At 40.2% G+C, this 21830-nt stretch overlaps 1 protein-coding gene across 2 annotated transcripts in view; it reads left to right on the forward strand.

Annotated features, from left to right (window-relative positions):
* The window catches only part of SLC35F1 (solute carrier family 35 member F1), a 410408-nt gene that overhangs the window by 325265 nt on the left and 63313 nt on the right, over positions 1 to 21830 (forward strand). For both annotated transcript variants that reach the window (NM_001029858.4, NM_001415931.1), the window contains exon 3: positions 2981 to 3108. In NM_001029858.4, the coding sequence (NP_001025029.2) occupies positions 2981 to 3108 (128 nt within the window). The remainder of the gene's footprint in view (positions 1 to 2980; positions 3109 to 21830) is intronic.

The raw sequence follows: 21830 nt of genomic DNA on the forward strand, positions 1-21830 counted from the left end.
CAAGAGTGAAACTCCATCCCAAAAAAAAAAAAAAAAAAAAGGTGTTAAGGAAGCACACAGCAGGAAAACCTAGCCCAGTCTAGGGTACTAAGAGTATCAAGGAAGGCTTCCTGGTAGAAGTGTGTATGCTGAGACTTCATTTGGAGACAGAAGGAAGAATAGTCCAAGCAGAGGAAACAGCACATGGAAAGGCCCAGAGACAAGAGAAAGCGTACTTTGGGCCAAATGTTCAGGTCATTTCTTTGGTATGAAGAGTCTTCACCACTCTGTGGTTGTATCTCTTTGGGATTCTTAGCTCGAGTCACCATGAGAATGGCCATTGAAAATTAATCATCTAAAAGTCCTAGTTTTGATCCTCAGTGCAATGCACAGGCCCCCACCCAAGACCAGTTAAATCAGAATCTCTAGAAGGGGGGCTGGTCCCAGGCATTAGGACTTTTCTGGTTTTTTTTTTTTTAGACGAAGTCTCACTCTGTTGCCAGGCTGGAGTGCAGTGGCGCCATCTCGGCTCACTGCAACCTCCGCCTCCTGGGTTCAAGTGATTCTCCTGCCTCAACCTCCTGAGTAGCTGGAACTATAGGTGTGCACCACCACACTCAGCTAATTCATGTATTTTTTAGTAGAGACAGAGTTTCACCACGTTGGCCAGGATGATCTCGATCTCTTGACCTCGTGATCTGCCCGCCTCAGCCTCCCAAAGTGCTGGGATTACAGGCGTGAGCCACCGCGCCCAGCCAGGACTTTTTAAAAGCTCTCCAGATGATGTGAATACGCAGTCAGGTTGAGAATCACTGATTGACAAGACAAATCCTGACGAATGTGTTGATTGTCAAACATGTAAGGCAAGTCAGAGAGGCAGAAGAGCTGTTCAAAGACTGCCAAAATGATCTGGCGGTGAAGAACTGACCTTGCGGATCACATCTGCCAGCCTTCTCATGTGCAAAACCATGAAAAGAGTGACTCATATTCTAGCACTGGCTCTTGACATATTCAGACAGTATTTCACTTTTTTTTTGTTTTCAATTCATTGATTCATTCACTCCAAAACACTTAGCTAACCCTTGCTATATGTCAGTATGCTAGAGGCTATGGATAAGTATATGAGTAAGACATTAACTCTACCTTTGGATAAAAGCACCCAGTCTAGTGAAGAGTCAGTAATCACAATCCTATGAAAGGATTAATCAGAGATGGATGTGCATTACCCAGTTGGGGAAAGGGCTTAGCCAAAAGACCAGAGAAGGGCTACATTTTGAAAAATGAATAGGAGTTTGCAAGATGGGGAGCGCAGTTCCCTGATACAGAAAGACTTTGTGCATGCTTGAAGGCTTGAAGGCTATGAGAAGTGTGGCTTGGAAGAGTAGGCTGGCAAACTGATTTGACCACCAAAGGTCAAGAGACCCTTCTCTCCTATTGTCAACTGGCCACAACTCATGCTTTGACAGTCTGTATGTAACTGAAAGCTTTGTGCTCACAAGTCTTCATAGGGTTGGAAAGACCACCTCATTATCATGGTCATTGGAATACAGCTAAGAGCAGAAATAAGTAGCTCTGATTCTGAGAGTGGTCCAAATACAGCTGAGGATCCAATGTTCTTCTGAGGCTTTGAGGACCAGCTGAAGTACATCTCTAGGACTAAAGATGTGTGTCACTGTTTAGGCAGCCTCTAAGATGGCCTCCAAGGATCTCTGCCTCCTGGTATTCACTCCCTTATGAAATTCTCTCCCCTTGAATGTGGGCTGGACTTATTGACCCTTTGTTAAAGAATACAGTAGGGTAGAAGTGTCACTTTTGAGATTAGGTTATAAAAACCTTATCTTCCATCTTTGGTGTTCTCTCTCTCTCTCATTGTTTGTCCTGGGACAAAACAAATGCCATGTTTTGAGGCAGTACTGTACAAAGGTCCTTGGGGTAAGGGACCAATGCCCACCCACAGCCATGTGAGTGAGCTTGGAAGCAGGTCCCTCCCCAGTCATTTCTTCAGATGACACTGCATTCCCGGTTGACAACTGGCTGCAACTTACTAGGAGAACTTGAGCTGGAGACACTCAGTTAAGCTCTAACCTGGTTCTTGACCCACAAAAACTGCGAGATAATCAGTATTTCTTGTTTTAAACAGCTCTGTCTCTGGATATCTTGTTACACAGCCATAAATATGGTATATAGTCACCATTCACTAAGTTTCTGTACATCTACATCCTCTATGAAGACCCCACAGGTTGGCTACAGAGAATTATTATTGTTCCTGATCATGATTGCCCTGCCTTGAGAAATAAGGTTTATCTCAGGCCTGAAATATATGTAAAAATAAGAATGAAGAACTAAGAGATTCAAAGTCTGTTCTTATGCTACCAGTTTAAAAATGCAAGATGGTGAAGATTATAGTTGTTGGCAGTATTAAAAGTGTTGTCAAATGGCACTCTTTTTCATCTGAGAGTGATGCCCCAACTTGCTGTCTCTTCCCATCACCCACAAACCACTAGAGTGCATGCAACATTCAAAGCTGATCAGGAACTCAGGATAGCATCTCAGAGTCTTACTACAGATCTGCTGCCAAGCACAAGCCTTTTTCTGTTTGGTTCTTTCATTTTTATCTATTTTATCACAATCCTGAAATTTAGAATGATTTGGAATGTTGTGTTTATGCAGCCTTTCTGGTACACCTTTCCTTTCATTTTCATATGATGTAATTATGTTATCCTTCATTTATTCACACACAAAAGATGTTTTGCATGGTAAGCTTATAACCTGCCCAGTCTTACTCTGGCATAGAAAGTAACTTGAAAAGCCAAAATCTGCAATAAAGTTAATTTGCTAAATAAAAACATGTGGGTATCTGATACGTTGATTTATTTGTTTAAATATTTGGTAAACTTTAGGTTAAAAATATATAATGTTGCAACATATTAGAATTCTTCTAAATGTACAATTTATTCTATTTCAGGAACCTAACCCATTTCTTCTTAACTTTGTAACACAGGAGAAGAAAACCTCCTGGCAATTTTACGACGAAGATGGTGGAAGTACATGATTTTGGGACTCATAGACCTGGAAGCAAATTATCTGGTGGTCAAGGCTTACCAATACACAACTCTGACCAGTATCCAGGTACCCATGGTTCTTCTTCCCTTCTCAACTTCCTCTATCCAGATGTAGTTTACTTTCAGTTTAGTCCTTGAAAATCTCTATACTACAAGTTACTATCTGTATACTATACTATAGTATACAGACTGCAGTATACAGATTCTGTATACTATAAGTCTATGAGTTTTGCAACAAGATGGAAACTGGTTATATAAAAATTAACTTGAACTTTATTTATATGTCTTAATAATCCTTTAAATTTAAGTGTAATTGGACATATGTTTTCTCTTTGTTTTGAATATATTGCAATTACTATTGACAATGTAAAAAAAATTTGTGGCTTTGAATGCTGTCAACTAATCTTATGTTAGCAGGAGAATTATTAATAAATATAAAAACAAATCAATTTTAATCACAACTTATAACTTTTTAGAATGTTAATAGACTTTGATTAAATAATCAAACTGCTTAATAATCTTTTCTTTTAGCTTTTTTAATGTGTAGAATTTGCAACCTGAAGGGACAGGATTTTTCCTAAAGGGACAAGGAGTCAATTCTTAAAATGTGTTATGCGTGAAGATAGCTACTGTGTTTCTTTCCCCCTTCTTCCCTCTCCTTCTCTTTCTCACATGAACACACACACACACAATTGCAAGTTTACCTTCGCTTTTCACAATTTTTGACAGACATATATATTCCTCATTACACTGTAAATGATAAACTTAACTATTTTTGTTTCATCTTCACTTCTTTTTATATGGTAATATTATTAATTCCATACCATTGCAAAGCTCTAGGATAAAACACAAAACAAAACATTGTTCTCATATTAGATTTAGTTTAGCTTTGATACTTCCTGCCATCTTGTCTATTTGCTTACGAACAATAATGACAAAAATGGAGAAACAAGCAGCAAAGCACTTGAAAAAATTAGATGAAATACAGTGGGTGGGAAACTATCTACACCTGACTTAGTTTTCCTACCATCTGATTTTCATATGAACTTCAAAGATAGCTTGAAATGAAAGTAATTAATGGTAGCATTTTTCCAGGACCACCTCCATATGCACGTTGTGTTCCAAGAGCTTTTGTGGGATCAGATTCCTAGTCAGGTGCATATTGAAGAAAATAGATAACTGATAAGGGAGACCTGAGCCTGCCCGGTCACTTTAATCCTTAGCACCCTGTGACTTTTAGACTGATGTTGGAAGAGATACAAGGCAATAGCCAGATGCCTCATGAGACTCCAGAAGGAGTGCATTCTGCCTCTTGGCACTTGCCTTTTTAAAAATTTCCTTGTATGAAATCCTTTCTCTCCCTTTTAGAACTTTCTTTTCTCCAGTTTTTAGAGCCCTGCTCTCCCTAAAGTTGGCCTTTTTGTTTCTTTTTCATCCTCTCCAAGATGAAAAAGAGACACAAAATGCCTCCATGCACAATATATAACATTTCTTTATGTTAAAAAATATATTGGGGGATACTCATACTCTCTATTCTCTATACATTGTCAGTGCTATTAGGACATTTTTAAGGACCTTGAAAGCAAGAACTATGACTTTTTTAAAGTTAATTTATAAATCTACCTGGTACAGCATCATGCATAAATTAGCATTTAGACATAAACACACCAATTATAAATATGATTAAGCCATCACCTAGGACTCCCCCAGTTACATTTTCTTTATTTTGCGCAAGACCTCATGAATTCTAAGAAAACACACACACACACACACACACACACACACACAAAATGGTTGCAAATTCCAGAGGGAGAATAATTCAGTGCATAACTTTTTTTTTCCTTTGTCTCACTTTGTTACCCAGGCTGGAGTGCAGTGGCAGAAACATGCCTCACTGCTGCCTCAACTTCCTGGGCTAAAGCGATCCTCTGGCCTCAGCCCCCACAAGTAGCTGGGACTACAGGCACATGCCACCACACCTGGCTAATTTTTGTAGTTTTTCTAGAGATGGGATTTCCCCATGTTGCCCAGGCTGGTCTTGAACTCCTGGGCTCAAGAGATCCGCCCACCTCAGCCTCCTAAAGTGCTGGGATTACAGGCATGAGCCACACGCCCAGCCCGTATGTCTTCTTTAACAGCGATAGTTATAATGTCCTTCATATTCACCTCTCCATACAATAAAGCTTTAAAATGGAAAAACCTTTTAGATACGTCGTAGTTGCACCAGTAATTTGGTATGCTGTGTGCAAATGAAATGAGTTTCATAAAATTGGTGAATTTACCACAAATGTAATTTTGAAGTCTTATTGTATATTTCTATGATACATACTAATACACTGAAAAAAATTATGGAAATAAAAATTATTGGCAGTGTTCTCTTTATGTATATCAACATTCATTATTCAGTGCAATCTGAAGTTCTCACTAGAAAAAAACATTGTTTCTTTCCTTCCACCTCCCCTCTTCCTTTCTCATCTTAGAAATGGTATAAGAATATTTCCCACTACAGATGTCCCATAAACACCTATGTTTCTCTCTCTTAAACACACACACAATTTGCTACATTTTTAAAGTTAATACCCTGCTCAAGGTGTTTCTATTACTTGGAATATCCTTTTCGTCTCCATCCCCTACCTAATGAAGTCCTATTTATTTCAAGGACCTCTGTACCTTAGGATGCTTTCAAATTATGAATAACGGAAAGCCCAGCAGAAACTGTCTTTTGATAAGCCGGGCATACAGTTGTGCACCTCTGTAGTCCCAGCTGCCCAACTACTGGGGAGGCTGGGGCCAGAGGATTGCTTGAGGCCAAGAATTCAAGGTAGTCCTGGGTGATATAGCAAGATCCCATCTCTAAAATAATAATAATAATAATAATAATAATAATAATGGGAATTTATTGATTCTCATAACTGGAACATCTAGTAAAAGGATGATCTTCAGGATAGTTGGCCAAATGTCTTAATAATGTCATCAGGGACTCATTTTTGTTTTTCGTTTTTCCCATCTTTCCCCTCTACTGTCCCTTCTGCTAGATTTATGTTAAAGCAGGCTCCTCTCATGGTCATGAGATGGTTTTTAGCACAAATTGGGAGTACATGTCCTTCTTCCTTCATGTCCAATGAGAGACAGAAAAGATGCTTGCCCACAACCATTGAATAAAAGTCTAGCACTGTATTCTGATTAGGCCACACTAATGGCCAAGGGGAATGCTGTGAGTTAATTGGCTTAGACCTGAAGTATCTGAATCAATAGAAGAGGAGATTTCTCTCACTGATTTAGCTGAACATTTCTCAATAGAAGTACTGCTGGCATTTTGAGTGAACAGTACCCACTGATAGAGTCAGGGTGGGATCAACGCCATCCGGTCACATATCTGTCACCCATTAAGGGAGAGGTGAGACAGATGGATGCAGGAGGAAAAACCACAATGTCTGTACACCCAGTGTAGCTCCCATCTCCCATCAACAAACCCCACAATGAGAACAAGTCTCTCTCTCTCTCTCTCGTCTCCCGAGGTGCTTTGCTTTTTAGCTCTATTTGCAGTCTTTTACCTGAGAAGGATGTTTGCATATTCCCATCTACTCCACCAAACTGTGAGCTCTTTCATAGCAAGGATAGTCTCTTGTTCACCATTGAATCTCTAGTACCTAGAGGAAACCCCAGCACATACTAGATACTAAATACATGTTTGAAGAAGTTAATTGTATACATTGATTTCCAGTATTTTGGTGCACAGGAGCTCCCAGTGGTCCTTTATCTATATTTAGAGGCCCCCAGAATGTTCATAGAGGTAGGATGGGGAAAGGGAGGGAGGAATGTTAGCTTCACACCAAAACTGGACCCATTAGCCCAGAGTCAAAATGTATTAATGGACCTAAGGGGGAAATGAGGAGTGACTTTCCTGTTTGGAACCATAGTTGGCTTTTTTTTTTCTGTTAAGCATTGAAAAAATTACAACAAATTGTTTCTTAAGTTCAGTGAGTTTTTTTTTAAGTTTTTTTAAGTATGTTTTGCCTGTGAACAGTGACAATTTATTCTTAATAGCTGGTCCCCTGATCCTCAGGTAGTTAGTTCAAACCTATGTTCTATACCTGCCACTATATCCATCCTGCCATCTTTCTCAAGTTAGCCATTTGACACCCTATTTAATGCTGCATTCTATGAAAACGTTTATTTTAATTCTGTAGTAAGAAAAATAATTTCAGTGAAATATCAATTAGTCCTCACTGTAATTTACTGAGCAAGGAACAGGGAAGTAAAAAGGCAAGTTGAATCTAACAGTTCTAGAACCATTTTTCCACCTATAACAAATAAATCTATTAAATAATAAGTGATCAGAACAGAAGGCATTTCCTCTGTGAGCCATGTTTATAGTGCTGTTTAGTAATTTAGTTCTGTTTACTCACTACAGATTTATGGAACTGACAAGTACCTACTACAATTTTCCCTTGTTTCTATAAATATTAATTGAACACATAGTATGTGTTTTACTCATATTAATCCATAAAGAAGACACGTTTATTTAGCTTCTGAGAAATGCAATAGTTACTGCAGGTGATATAAAGAGAAATGAATCAGCCTTGCCCTATGGGAGCTTATGAACTTCTAAAGGAGATAAGAGACACAGCTTAATGATAGTAACACCAAGTGTGGCAAGAGAGCAGACACCTAAGTGCTATGATTTTCAAAGGAGGCAGAGATGATAGTTGAAGAAAAGTCAAGAAAGTGTCCATTCAGATGGGTCTATGAGGTTGGATAAAAAGTGGAGAGGATAAAATGTGGGTATAACTTTGCATATGAAACAAACCTCATAACAGAAGCCTGGAGTCCCAAAACTCAAGGAATATGATTGGAGAACAATTATTTTCATCTGATTAATACAGTCACTTCAAAAGTAATTACTGAATACTTCGTGTTCAAGACACTGTATTAGGTGGTGAATGTATATGTAAGCAAAAATAAATACTGTACATATTCTCACAGAACTTCCAGTCAAGTGGGAAAGGCAGCTTTTAATCAAATAACCAAACGAATGAAGACATAATCAAGAATAAACATTCTGAAGGAAATCAACACAGTTCTCTGGGAACGTTTGTCAAAGCAATCTAACCCAAACTGGAAGGTTGGGAAAGATTTTCCTGAAGAACTGATGGTGGAACTGAGTAGATTAGTTGGAAGGGAAAGAGATTCAGGCTAAGCAGACAGCGTGTTCAAGGCCCTATGTTGGGATGGACCATGGCAAGGATGAGGTTCCGAGCAGGGTCGTGTCTGGGCAAGGACACCAAAGAGAAGAGTGGCACAAGATGGCGAGACAAAGAGGCAGGGATCAGCCCCCACAGGTCTGGGTGGCCATTTCAAGTGTTTGGGTCTTTAGGCTAGTACCACCAGAAGCCACTGCAAAATTTTTAATCTGCAAGGTAATGTGACACATTTGAGTTTCAAAGACCATTGTGGCTGGTATGTGAACAGATTGAAGCAATAGGTACTCTAAAGGGAATAGAGGAAGTGAGAGCCAAGAGTTAAGCTGGGCCATATTGTAGAAGGTCTTCAATGCCAGAATGACTTAATGTTGTAGGTAAAAGAAAACCTGAATTTTTCTTAGGAAACAAATGATAGGATGTGACCCAAGCACATTTGTTTTAACAAGAGAGATTTCATTAATAATTGGCAGAGCACCAAATGCTCTTGTTTTCAGATTCTCTCAAAAACAGAGATGTAAACAAAAAGGCATAAAGAGTCACTCCTTGCTCTATCCTCTTGCCCTTTCAGTTTCTGCACCACACTTATGGTTAAATGTCACAAACAATTGATATATGAAGCTTGAGAGGAAAATGTATATATATTGCTGCAATTTCATGTGAATCTATAATCATTGTAAAAATATAAGATCCTTTGAACCCTTCACATAGCTTTCCCCAATGGTGACATTTTCTATTACTTTAGAATAATGACAGATCCAGGATATTGACTGCAGACCTTATTCAGTTTTCATACATTTTTACCTTCGTGTGTGTGTGTGTGTGTGTGTGTGTGTGTCTGTGTAGTTCTATGCACTTTGGTCTCATGTATAGATTCATGTAACCACCACTACAATCGGGTACAGAATTATCCCATCACCACAAAGGAAATCCCTTGGAGCTACCCCTGTGAAGCCCATCACCTTCATCTCTGTCACTGGCAACCACTAATCTGTTCTTCATCTATACAATTCTTTCAGCTAGAGAATGCTATATAAAAATTGAATTTTACAGTATTTAACATTTTGAGATTGGCTTTTTTCACTAAGCATAATGTCCTTAAGTCCCTCTAAATTGTTTCATGTATCAATAGTTTGTTCTTTTTTATTGTTGAGTAGTATCCCCTGGTAGGAATAAACCAGAATTTGTTTAACTATTTACCTGTTGAAAGACATTTGTGTTGTGTCCACCTTTAGGCTTTTATAAGTAAAGCTGCTGTGAACATTCATGTGCAGGTTTTTGTGTTAATAAAGTATTCATTTCTCTGGGATAAATGTGCAAAAGTGCAATAGCTGGGTCATATGGTAAGTGCATATTTACTTTTAGAAGCTGTCAAGCTAATTCCCATAGCAGCTGTACCATTTTACATTCCTACCAGCAATGTATGAGACATCTATTGGTTCTCCATCCTCACCAGCATTTGGTGTTACCATTAATTTTTATTTTTGGCAACCTAAAAGCCATGTAGTAATATTTCATTGTGGTTTTAATTTATATTTACAGAATGGCTAGTAATGTTGAATATCTTTTGAGAGAAATATTTTTAACTTTTGCTTTATAATCTGAAGCTAAAAAAGTTAACACTGGCAAAAATGATAACATTTATGCAGGAAAAAGATGATGAAAGAAAGATATTGAAGTGGAGAAACCTAGCTGTTTTCCTTATTAGAAAGTAAAAAGAGAGGTGGTAGCATTATCATGTTGGATTTATAAGGATTTTATTCTAAAGATGCATTTGTAGGCTTGTGTATCTTGACTTGTGGAGGATGAATAGATTGTGCTGTGACTTTGAGAGAGATTAGCAATGACATTTGGACACATTTTCAAAGCTACGCTATTTTTATAACTGTGCTATATGAACCATTACAGTAGAAATACTAGCTGTATGACTTCTTATCCAAAGATTATTCATCTTTTTTCAGGCATACAGACTAAAATGCAAACAGATTAAACTAGTGTTTCTGTGAAATAAGAAGAAAGTGTATCTCTTCAAACACGATAGTTTGGTAATTAAAATTCACTCACGTTGGGAACAATTTCCCATACACTTGCTAACCATGCTGAGGGGTCTGAGCCTCTGACATCATATCCCCTCTTTCACACAGTGCATATTTCACAGCTCTTCAGATTCTTTAAGCAGTTTCCATCAGGAGTGAAGGACAAGGAGGTAATCCTTCCAACACTGATTATTTTATTTTCTGCACCACTCCTCTGACGTGGGCATGTTAGTAGAGATTAATACAAAACAAATGCCAGCCTCCCTAATGTGCAGTGTGATATCCAACCTTAAGACTAATTCCACAGGGCGTATAAAACATATGCCTGCAACAGTTAGTCTCATCACTTTATGTAACTCTCAGGCCTTTCTGGGTTCACTCTTAATTAATTTCCGTAGGCTAAGTTGTATCAAATACAGAGAAAGGCCAAGTTGTTTATACTTTTTCATATGTCTAGAGTCTCATGTTTAAGCCATATGAGTAGATTTGGCATACGTATTACTTTATTGATTAAGAAATGCCCTAGACAAGGCACGGTGGCTCATGCCTGCAATCCCAGCACTTTGCGAGGCTCAGACAGGAGGATTGCTTGAGCCCAGGAGTTTGGGGAAAGCCTGGGCAACATAGCAGGACCCCAATTCTACAAAAAGAAATGCCTTAGCTAAATGCTAGGGATACAACCCCTGATCAGACCTGAGCCCTGCTATGAGGCAACCGACAGCTACGTTAACACTTAGAATACAATACAGTAAGCGTGATGATAAAAGTCTGCAACCAGCTCCATGGAGACACAGGAGAAACAGCTCCCACCCTTAGGTTTCATGTAAGTGTGGTCCCATAGTCAAGAAGTATGACAGATGACAGAAAGTCACTAAGCAGACTTCTAAAATTTGTAGCCAACTTAAATGTTGACCTCTGTGGATGAGCCAGAGAGAAAGCTTGCCTATTTACATTAGAAACGGGTCCCAGGAGCTAGGGTTTATGACTAAAGCTCAGCTCTTAAGGCTATATTTTCTTCTTTATCCTTGCTGTTTTTACCTGTCCCTGATGCAGGACTATGGAAGTTTAATGACTATTCAAACGATATTCTTAAAGTACATTAAAAGGCAAAGCTTTTAAAACCAAAGTGCTTGCCCCCAAAGGGAACATGATATTCCAAATCTCTTTCAGAGTTCTTAGATCCAGACTTCCTATTGCCATGATTGTGAAAATGACTTAAATTTGTAGCACTTCAAATCTAACTATTTGGTTGGGTGCTGCACAGTTTTCTGTCAGGCTTTTGTCCTGATATGGGGCATAAACACCTGCATATCATCAGAGGAACACAGTAGAGCTATTGTCAATCTCTCTTTAGTTCCATTACCATACCCATTCCTACACCATCTTTAAATGCATTCTCCATGACTGCCTACCACAGAAGGTGATGCAGGACAGGTGAGCCCCAAAGTGGGGCTTAACCCACAGAGTTCTTGGCTTGGCCTAGGAAAGAATTCAAGGGCAAGCCAGAGGTAGAAGAAAATGGCTTTATTGAAGCAGCAATGTTACAGCTCTGGCAGTGTTACAGCTCTCTGACTCTTCCTGTAGAGTGGGGCTACCCCATAGGCAGAGATCAGAAGCTTAGGGCAATTTTGCAGTCATATTGATACTCATTTTAAATTACATGCAGATTAAGGGGTGACTTATGCAGAAATTTCTAGGGAAGGGCTAGTAACTTTGGCAAAGCCATTGGAAAGCAAGGGACGTATCTCTCACCCTTTCCTTCAACTACATTCTGTAACAGCCATGTTTGCAAGATTGGAAAACATGTATTTGATCCTGTCTGAACTCTTTATTCATTTCTTCATCTTCAGTTTTCTTATAGTAACTGTCACTTTCTACTCTATATGATAATTGTTTATTTGTATATTTTCTCTTTCAAGTTTGTAAAAATCTTTGAAAGTGGGACTTGTGTACTTGGAACTTAATAAGCCCTGAATCAATTCCTAATGTTTGAATAAATGCAGAAACAATTCATCTTTGTTTCCTTCACAGTATCGTGTATGTGATAGATGCTAAAAATATATCAAACGTTTGAAAATAAGTCAATGAATGAAAGGATGAATTTCTAAAGGCCAGCTATTGGGCAAGGCAACACAAGTGACCTCTAGTAGTTTTATCACTAGTAAGTGCATTTATTCACACAGGACACAGGTATGGAACACTAAACACCTTTTCAGTATTCTGCTATGGTCTGGAAATGTAAAGATAACTAAAAAAGATCCCCTCTCCGAAGAAGCTTTAAGTATTATAGACATAGAATGGATGCAGGTTCATTCATGCTACACTTGGATGTCCAAAGAAACTGTACTTTCTTTATATTCTATAATCGATCTAATCTTTATAGTGAACCTTCTTCCAAACACCCTCCACCTGGCTAAGTAGCAGTAGGTGGAGGGAAAAGACTGACTAAATGTAAAACTTGCCAATCCCTTCTAGTTTAAAAACTCTCTTTGGATAACTCAGTTGCTTTTGGACAAATGCTCAGCCTCTCAGACATCACAACCCCCACACTCATATCTGAGATGGTCTGTGGATTTCCAGGAGGTTTGTGTGACCTTGTGGCCTGATGTCGGTCCTGTGCCTAATGTCCCTAGGGGCAGCTGGCTAGTAGTTGGATGTGCACCTGCTGTGCTGGACACGGAGCTGCTGTCTGGCGTTCTGCTGGCCTCTGCTGCTCTCTCCTCCCAGCAGTTGTCTCTCTCTTCTTGTGGACTGCTCCCACCTGCGCTTGATTCTCACTGATAAAGTGAACCTCCAGATGTGAATGCATTTGGTTTCCAACCTTTGTGATTCCTGCAACATAGACTGTTCCCCACCTCCCAGCCGGCACCCCTTCTCAGGCAGGATACACAGATGTCTAAACATCTTCCAGCAACACAGGAGCTGAGGATAATTCCAGGACCTTTAGTGCTCTGCTAAGCACACATCACTTAAGTTGTTCTCTGATGTGGCTTCCTCAGCTGGGTGTGGGGCTTCTGCCTCCCAAAAAACCTGGTGCTTTTTTTTGGTTTGCCTTCAAACTATCTAGCATTCTCTCTATCCTCTGGGACTTCAGAGAGGGCACATCTTGGGCACATATGACTTAATACTTGTTTCTCCCTTGTCAGTTTCCTTTCCTCTTTGCACAATCAGTGGATGAGAGGGAGAGACAAGCTCTCCCTCCCTCTTTCTCTCTAGTATGGACTTCCTTGTCTCCCTTCCTCATCTCCCATCCTCCTTCCAGGGATACCGGGCCTGGTTCAGCCTCTAGAGAGAAGAGGCAACCTTTCACATTCTGGAAGAAACTCTGATATGGTTGGCAGTATGGATTATTGATATGTTGGAAGGAGAATTTCAGAATTTAGAATCCCTTATTTCTCCAGGATTTCCAAGATGCTTCCTTGCTAAAGAAGTCAAGAAAGTCAGCTTTGGGTTTTAAAGCTGATCACTGACCTCTCTGTTCTATAAAGGACCGGCCCTCTTTTTCTTCATGGCTCAGCTTTACAGATAGATGGCTGTATGGAGCATGATTTAACAGGGGAAATTAAATTTCCAAACTTTTATGCCTATTTTGCTGGAAGATAGATCAGTAAATGAATTACAATGCAGTGTGAAATATAGTAAAATGGAGCTACACACGAAATGCCATGGAACTACAGAGGAGGAGTGACTGGCTCTACCCCGTGACAGACAGGACTCCAGAGGTGACACCTGAACAGGATCTGTAAACCTAAGTTTTACTGACAACATGAATCTGACGATAAAGCAGGCCGCTTGGTTCTCTGGTCATTTTCAGCTCCAATGGTGCACGTAGACAGGTTATAAATCAGTGAGGTGCCCTTACATGTTTGTTTTCTCTCTCTGAGCATCAATTTTCTCACCTATAAGTGAGAATAAAAATCCTTTCCCCTGGTGTGATCATGGTATGCAAATGTAAGATTGTATTTGATGGTCCACTAAGGCAAAAATGATGCAACCAACAAAAAAAGTTCTATGATTTTTATCCTGCCACCAGCTCCTAATGTAGTCTCTAACTCCCTCCCTGGTGAAATTCCTCAGTCCTTCCTACTAAGTGACTTTTAACAGTGCCCCCACTGGTCTCCTTATGCTCTCAAGCTTGCCTGAGATCCATATGATAGTCAGATGGCCAAGCTGGGACACCCATTATCTTAGCAATGTCTCCAGCACATAGTAGATGCTCAATAAATGACAGGTCCTGTTACTCACATATTTTCCACTTCATCTGTTCTTTCCATCAATCCAATTTAAGGAAAATACATAAAGAAGATACATTTTGCCTAACCATCCCATCTTCTTATACACTCTTACTCTTGGATAACAAATTTAAGAGGAATGGTGAATTTCAGTTGCATGCAAAGCCATCTAAGTGAAAGAATTTGCTGGAGACAAGGAGAAGGTTAGGAAACCCACATTCCAATTAGCTTTGCCACTGACCTATTATGGTGTTATCCCAGGTAAGACCAGTGCCAGTCAATAGAGGTGAACTCTCATAAAGATTAATGACGCTGCTGCTAGATAGGAACAAAATTATTCCAGCCCACTCTGTTTTAGAGTGAAAGTATCAGGGGAAATTGTACAAGCAAGTGTGGTAGTATCCTACTTGGAATCATGTTTTCCCAGTACCAGGGGCTAAGCTTTGTCTGCAATGAATGTGTTCCCAAAATAATATTTTCAAATATATTTTTGCAAATTATTTATATTTTTAATATACTGGGAAATACACTAGGCAATTTCTTATAAATCAAAAAGTCATTTTGTGCTATGAATAATAAATCACATTTTTTCTTTAGATATTCTTTCTATACACTAAATCTGTGAAGAGTGAAACACTTCTGTAGTCCAGTATTACACCACACACAAAGTTTCCTACTTAAATTCTTAGAACCAATGGACAAATTGCCTGGCATATTTGGTGGATAAGGTTGGATAGGCAAATATATCATTCTTCAAAGTGCTATCTTTTAATAGTATGTACTTATTCTAATGTGGCTACCATTTAGAATTTCTCTTTTGAAATCTCCTTCAGAACCAGTTTTAAGTCATTTAAGTTTCTTTATAATTTATCCTTCATTTGAATCCAGAAAGTATTATCTAGCATAATCCAGCATTTTGGTTCTTTCCAAATAGTAAAACCTACCCAAAAAGTATGAGCAACTGCTTTCATTAAGGATATTCCAATGAGTGCTCAGAGGCAATTTCAAAGAGTTCATATGTTTTTGAGTGATGAAAGATTCATTAAACTACAACCATAACCTTCCAGAGTGACTATCTTGAATGATAACCGTGTTTGGATGAGTGAATTCCAGTGCATTACAGAAGATTAGATATGTAAACACCTGCACATCCTGCTCAATAAGTGGCAATTTTCTTCTTCCCTTAAAAGAACTTTCCATTATTTTCAAGGCACACCTTTCATTATGCATGAACATAGCTGGAACAGTAAGCAGAATAATGGCCCTCCAAAGAAGTCGATGTTCTGATCCCTATAATATGTAAATATGTTACTTTACATAGCAAAAAAGACTCTGTGGATGTTATTAAACTCATGATGTTGCTATGGTGAGATTATTCTGAATTATGTGGGTGACCTCAATGTAATCATAAAGGTTCTTTGAAGAGAAGTCCTTTGCAGGAGTCAGAGTAGAGGGAGATGTAACATTAGAAGTGGAGTTCAGTGTCAGGGAGAGACTTGAAAACACCACATTGCTGGCTTTGAAGATGGAGAAAGGGGCTACAAGCCATGGAATGCAGGCAGCCCCTAGAAGCTGAAAAAGGCAGGGAAAGGGATTGTCTCCTAGAGCCTACAGAAGGAACACAACCCTGCCATCCCCTTGATTTTAGGACTTCTGACCTCCAGAACTATAAGATAAACGTGTGCTGTTTTAAGCCATTAAGTTTGTGGTCATTTATTACAGCAGCAATGGAAAACTAATACAGTTGGAGACAATATCTAAATCCTTCCCACCTACTATAGATTGAGTGTTTGTGTCTTCCCAAAATTCATGTATTGAAATCCTAACCCCCAATATAATGGTATTTGGAGGTGGAGCCTTTGGGAGGAGACTAGATCATGAGGGTGGAGCCATCCTGAATGGTATTAGTGCCCTTATAAAAGAGACCCCATTGATCTCCCCTGCCCTTTACCATGCACGCGAGGACACAGAGAAATGACTGCTGTCTATGAACCAGGGCGTGGGCCCCTACCAGACAGAATCTGCTGTCTAAGTCTTTGATCTTAGACACCAACCTCCAGAACTGTGGGAAATAAATATATGTTGTTTATAAGCCACCAGTCTATGGTATTTTTTTACAGCAGCCTTAATAGACTGAGGCACCACCCTCCAGGCAGGTTCGAAGGCACTTATCTTCTGAGAGCCTTCTCCAAATAGAACTGGAAACATAACTGTAAGAGCAGGTTCTCCTGCCCACCCTTGCTTGTGTTTCCATTGTTTGAGAAAAGTATCCTGCCCAGGAGCTGTTCCTTCTTTGTGGTTACTAAGGTGCCAATTCTCCCAATACTGCCTAGATGGGCTCCTTGGAGAGCACCCTGGTGCTGTCTGCCCAAATAGATGCACATGAAAACACTTCTACACCTTGACTGGTTCCAATGACAGACGTGCTCATTTTGAGTCTATCACTGTACAAAATTCACCTGTAATAAATGGTTAAAGTGGGAAAGAGTCCTTGCATGTAAAAAAAGAAAAAGAAAAACTATGCAAAGCCTGCTTCCATTGGCAATGCATTTGAGGAGATGGGTTTGTTCATAAATCAATAAAAGGCTTCGAGCTGCTTTTTGACTGAAGGGTACAGTCTTAAGGCCACTGAGACTTTTTAAGACTCAATGAGAATGCATAGAAACACCAGCATCTGAGAAATAGCAGGAGTTATTTTTGTCTCTCTCATTCCTTTCTTCCCTCTTGTTTATGTCTTCTGAGTTGGGGCCGTTTCTAATTCAAGAGCCTTTGAACAGGAAGACAGACCATGACTGGGCATTTCCTGAGGCCATTAAGTAGGGGGCTCTGTGAGTAGTTTAGGAGCTGTGACACCATCTGGGCCAGAGAACGATGACAGGAAGTAGCAGCTGCCCAGGGCGCTCACCTTTGATTCCCCGTGGCAGAAATCATCTCAATAAGTAGATTTATACAGTACAGCTAACTCGATGACAGTGGAGCTCCCCAAGTGGTTCAGAGTAATAGAAATTATTCATTGCTTCATTGGTTATTCATTCATTCAACATCTACTATCTGCCAGGCGATGCAATGAGCACCTCAAGACTTTGCTCAACTGTCATCTTTTCAGTGAACTCTTCTCTAACCACCCTGTTTAAAATTGCAACCTCACACCTGCACCTATACTGCCTCCCCTCTCCCCTGTTTAATTTTTCTCCATAGTTCTTATCACCACTGACGTAACTAATTTTACTTAATTGGCTGTCTTGTCTTATAAACTCTGTAAGGGCAGGGAATTTTCTTATTACCTGGAATTTGTATTTTGTGAGATAGTGCCTACACACAGAAGGTGTTCCATAAATATTTTTGAATGAATTCATAAAATACTTGTAGGGTCACTACTGTGTGCCAAGTACCACCCTAGCTGCAGAAGATAAAACTGAGCAGAAAAGAGAAAAATTCCTGCGCTTAAGGAAAGGAATTGCATTTTAGCGTAATCAATACAATTAGGTAATACAGAGACGTATGGGAGCCCCTCAGGGGGCACCTAATCTGGATTTAGGGAGCCAGAGAGGGCTTCCTGGAGGAAGCACTGGCTAAACTGAACTCTGACAAGGGAGAAGGACATGAGAACTCCAGACAGGGGGAACAACATGTAGAAAGAAATGAGTCATGGCAGCCAGGTGCAGTGGCTCACACCTGTAATCCCAGCACTTTGGGAGTCCAAGGCGGGTGGATAACTTCAGGTCAGGAGTTTGAGACCAGCCTGGCCAACATGGTGAAACCTCATCTCTACTAAAAAATACAAAAAGCCGGACGTGGTGGTGCGTGCCCGTAATCCCAGCTACTCAGAAGACTGAGAATGGCTTGAACCCAGGAAGCAGAGGTTGCAGTGAGCCGAGATCGTGCCACTACACTCCAGCATGGGTGACAGAGCCAGACTCCATCTCAAACAAAAACAAAAAAAAGAAAAGAGAAAGAAATGAGTCATGGCCAGGAGCGGTGGCTCATTCCTGTAATCCCAGCACTTTGGGAGGCCGAGGCGGGCAGGTCGTTTGAGCTCAGGAGTTCAAGACAACTCTGGGCAACATGGTGAAATCTCATCTCTAAAAAAATACAAAAAATTAGCTGGACATGGTGGCATGTGCCTGTGGTCCCAGCTACTCAGAAGGCTGGGGTGGGAGGATCACTTGAGCCCCAGGTGCACTTCAGCCTGGGTGACGGAGTGAATAAATGAGTCAAGAAAGACCATGGTATGTTAAGGAATGGCTTCAGCATTGAGTTTGTGGTTGTGTTTTGTGTGTTTTTTAAATTTTTTTTTTTTACAGTAAGAACCCTTAACATGAGCTCTACCCTTATAAATTTTCAAGTGCCCAATACAATACTGTTAACTATAGGCAAATGTTGTACAACAAATCTCTAAAACTAACAACTCTTGTATAACTGACAGCATGGAGTTTAAAGGAGGAAATGAGCAAAGAAGAAGATGAAAAAGTACCTAATGACGGATCACAAAGGGACTGACTTATAAGCCATATTCATGAGTTTGGGCTTAATTCTGAGAGTTTCTACTGTAGGAATAGCATGATGAGATTTGTAATTTAGCAAGATCCCTTGCATGATCTGATCTTTTTTCAGATCAGATCAGACAGAACAGGACAAGTAAAGAGATTCTAAATAGTTTTAAGTGGCTAAAAAGAAAGGACTTGGTGACTTATTCGGTGTGTGAGTGAAAAAGAAAGAAGGATCAATTCATGTGTATTTGTTCAGGGCTCAGCAAATTTTTTTGAGCATATATTATATACACTTTCCCATGGGCAACTAGACATATAGCATGAAGAAGACTGTTCTTACCCTCATGAAGCTTCCTTCCTAAGGCATACTTAGGTTTCATTTTCTGACCCTCCCATTAGAATATGTGGGAGTAAAATACGCATAGATATGGGGAAGAGAGTTCCAAGCAAAGAGGACAGTATAAGGGTGAAGAACTTGAGCATGTCAAGTTTAGGAAATTGAAAGAAGTTACTAGTAGTAAGAGACTAAATTCAAGATGAAGATGGGGCAGATTATATAAGACAAAGTCAAGGAAAGGAGTTTGGATTTGCTCTTAGAAAAATTATTAGACTGTGTTGGGCAGGGGACCGATGTGATCTAATTTGTATTTTTAGATCGTCATTGCTGCTGGTGGAGTATTGACCTTTAAGGAGTAGAAGTGGATGTGATTAGACAGTCAGGGGGCCACTAAGTGCATGATGATCATGACTTGAAGCCACTTGCTAACTGTCGATGTGGATAGAGGTGGTTTGATGCATTCAGTAGATAAAGCCAATAGGATTTTCTGAGCATTCATAGAGGGGATAGGGGAAGTTGGAAAGAAAAGAAAAAGAGCCAAGAATGGTTCCTTAGTTATTGGCCTCAGTCACCGGGGGAATGGTTGTGCCATGTGGTAAAATGAAGAAAACTGGGGAAGAGAAGATGTGAAGCAGAAAATCAAAGCATTCTGCTTTGGTCATGTAGATTTGAGTTTCCTGTTAGACATCCAAGCAGAGCTTGGTATAGGTGGCTGAGTATATGTGTCTGGAGTTCAACAGAGAGGCTGAAACTGGAATTATGAATGTGGATGTCATTCTCATATAGATGGCGCTAAAGGTCATTGTATGATTAGGTCATAGTGGAGTGGGTATAAATAGAAAAGAGAAGAAAATGAAACTGAGCCATGGAGCACATTCAGAGACTAGGGGAAAGCAGGCTGAGGAGAGGCTAGTGTGGTAGAGGAGAACAAGGAGAATGTAGTATGTCCTGGAAGCCAAGTGAAGAAAGTGTTTCAAGGGGAAGTGTGACCCCTGGATATCAGACACTCAGGATTCAGACCTGAGCAACTAAGTCACTGGTGGTCCCATTCAGGGAGGGAAGAATCACAAGAGGAGGGATAATCTGGGAACAAAGATGAGTTATGTTTGAGCCTTGATGAGCTGTGGGGATTTTGGGCACATTCACATTAGATAAGTAGGTGGTTATATGGCTGTGGAGTTCAGGAGATAGATCCAGATTTGAGAGGTACTTTTGGAAGTCCTCAGCCTAGGGATGATTTTTAAAGTCAGAACGGTAGGTGAAATCATTCAGGGTAAATGTGGAACAGTGAGAAGAGACATTATGGCAAAATCCTGAGAACACAATATTTGAGAGATGAGAGTAGATGCAGGAGCCCATAAGCCAGGAACGCGTAAAGGAGTCTGAAGAGGCCCGAGGGATGGAATGAAGGGCAGGGGATGGTTGAGAGCACCAAAAGAAGGAAGGAGTGTCAGATTCTTCGCTTAGTAAGAAGAGGACTAAAATGTGTCTGCTGGGTTAGAAAACAGGGAATGTTTTTGATCCATTTTGATCGTGTTTGGGGAACAGAAACCAGATTGCAGTGAATCGAGGTGTTGAATGGATGTTGATAAGATGGAGACAGTGGCTAAATGCAACTCTTTTAAAGAAGTTTGGCAGGAAAGGAAGTAAGAGGTGGGGTGAGAGCCAAAGAGTGGCACATGTAGAATGTGAAAATAAGACAGCCAAGGATAGGTCCCTCAGAAACACCAACGTTGAGAGGGACCAAAAGAACAAGATGCATCCACAAAAAGACAGAACAAAGGGCCAAAGAGGTAGGAGGGAAAAACAACAGATAAATCAAGAGAGGGAAAATTCAAGGAGAGAGTGGTTAGCAATGCCAACTACTGCAGAGAGGTTTAGTAAGATAAGAAGTCAGAAGCGGCCAGGCAATTTAGCCTTGGTGATCATAGTGAAAGGAGCTGTCAGTATTGCTGTAGCTTGAGGAATGAATGGAACCAAGATGCCAGAGGCAGTAACTGTAGATTGATCTTCACAGGCTGGCTGTGAAGAGGAAAAGATAAATAGCTACAGAGCCAGTGGGCATCGAGAATAAGACCAGGACTTGTATGGTGAAGGAACACAGCAAGCAGAAAGGGATGAGGATCCAGGAGGGAAGTGGGATAGCTGCTGGAGCAAAGCCTCAGAGACAGCAGATGGGGAGAGGGGACGGCTCCAAAGAACAAAGGGCAGAATTGCCTTCCCCACCAGGCAAGTCCTTAGGGGAAGAAACTGAGTGTCAACTGGAGGAAAGAAATGTGTGTTCATTGGCAGCTGTCCACCTGCACCTGGATGTAGAGTATTCACGCCGGTATCCTCTGCATCTATAACAATCCTGGTCACTTAGTAGGCATTCAATAAATGTCTTTTGGATGAGTAAATAAGTGACTAGTATAAGGTAGTAAAAATCTGATTTTTGCATTTTTCTTGCTCTGTCACATAAGCTGGAGTGCGGTGGTATGATCCTAGCTCACT

Source organism: Homo sapiens, chromosome 6 (genome assembly GCF_000001405.40).
Source record: "Homo sapiens chromosome 6, GRCh38.p14 Primary Assembly".
Classification (NCBI taxonomy): domain Eukaryota; kingdom Metazoa; phylum Chordata; class Mammalia; order Primates; family Hominidae; genus Homo; species Homo sapiens.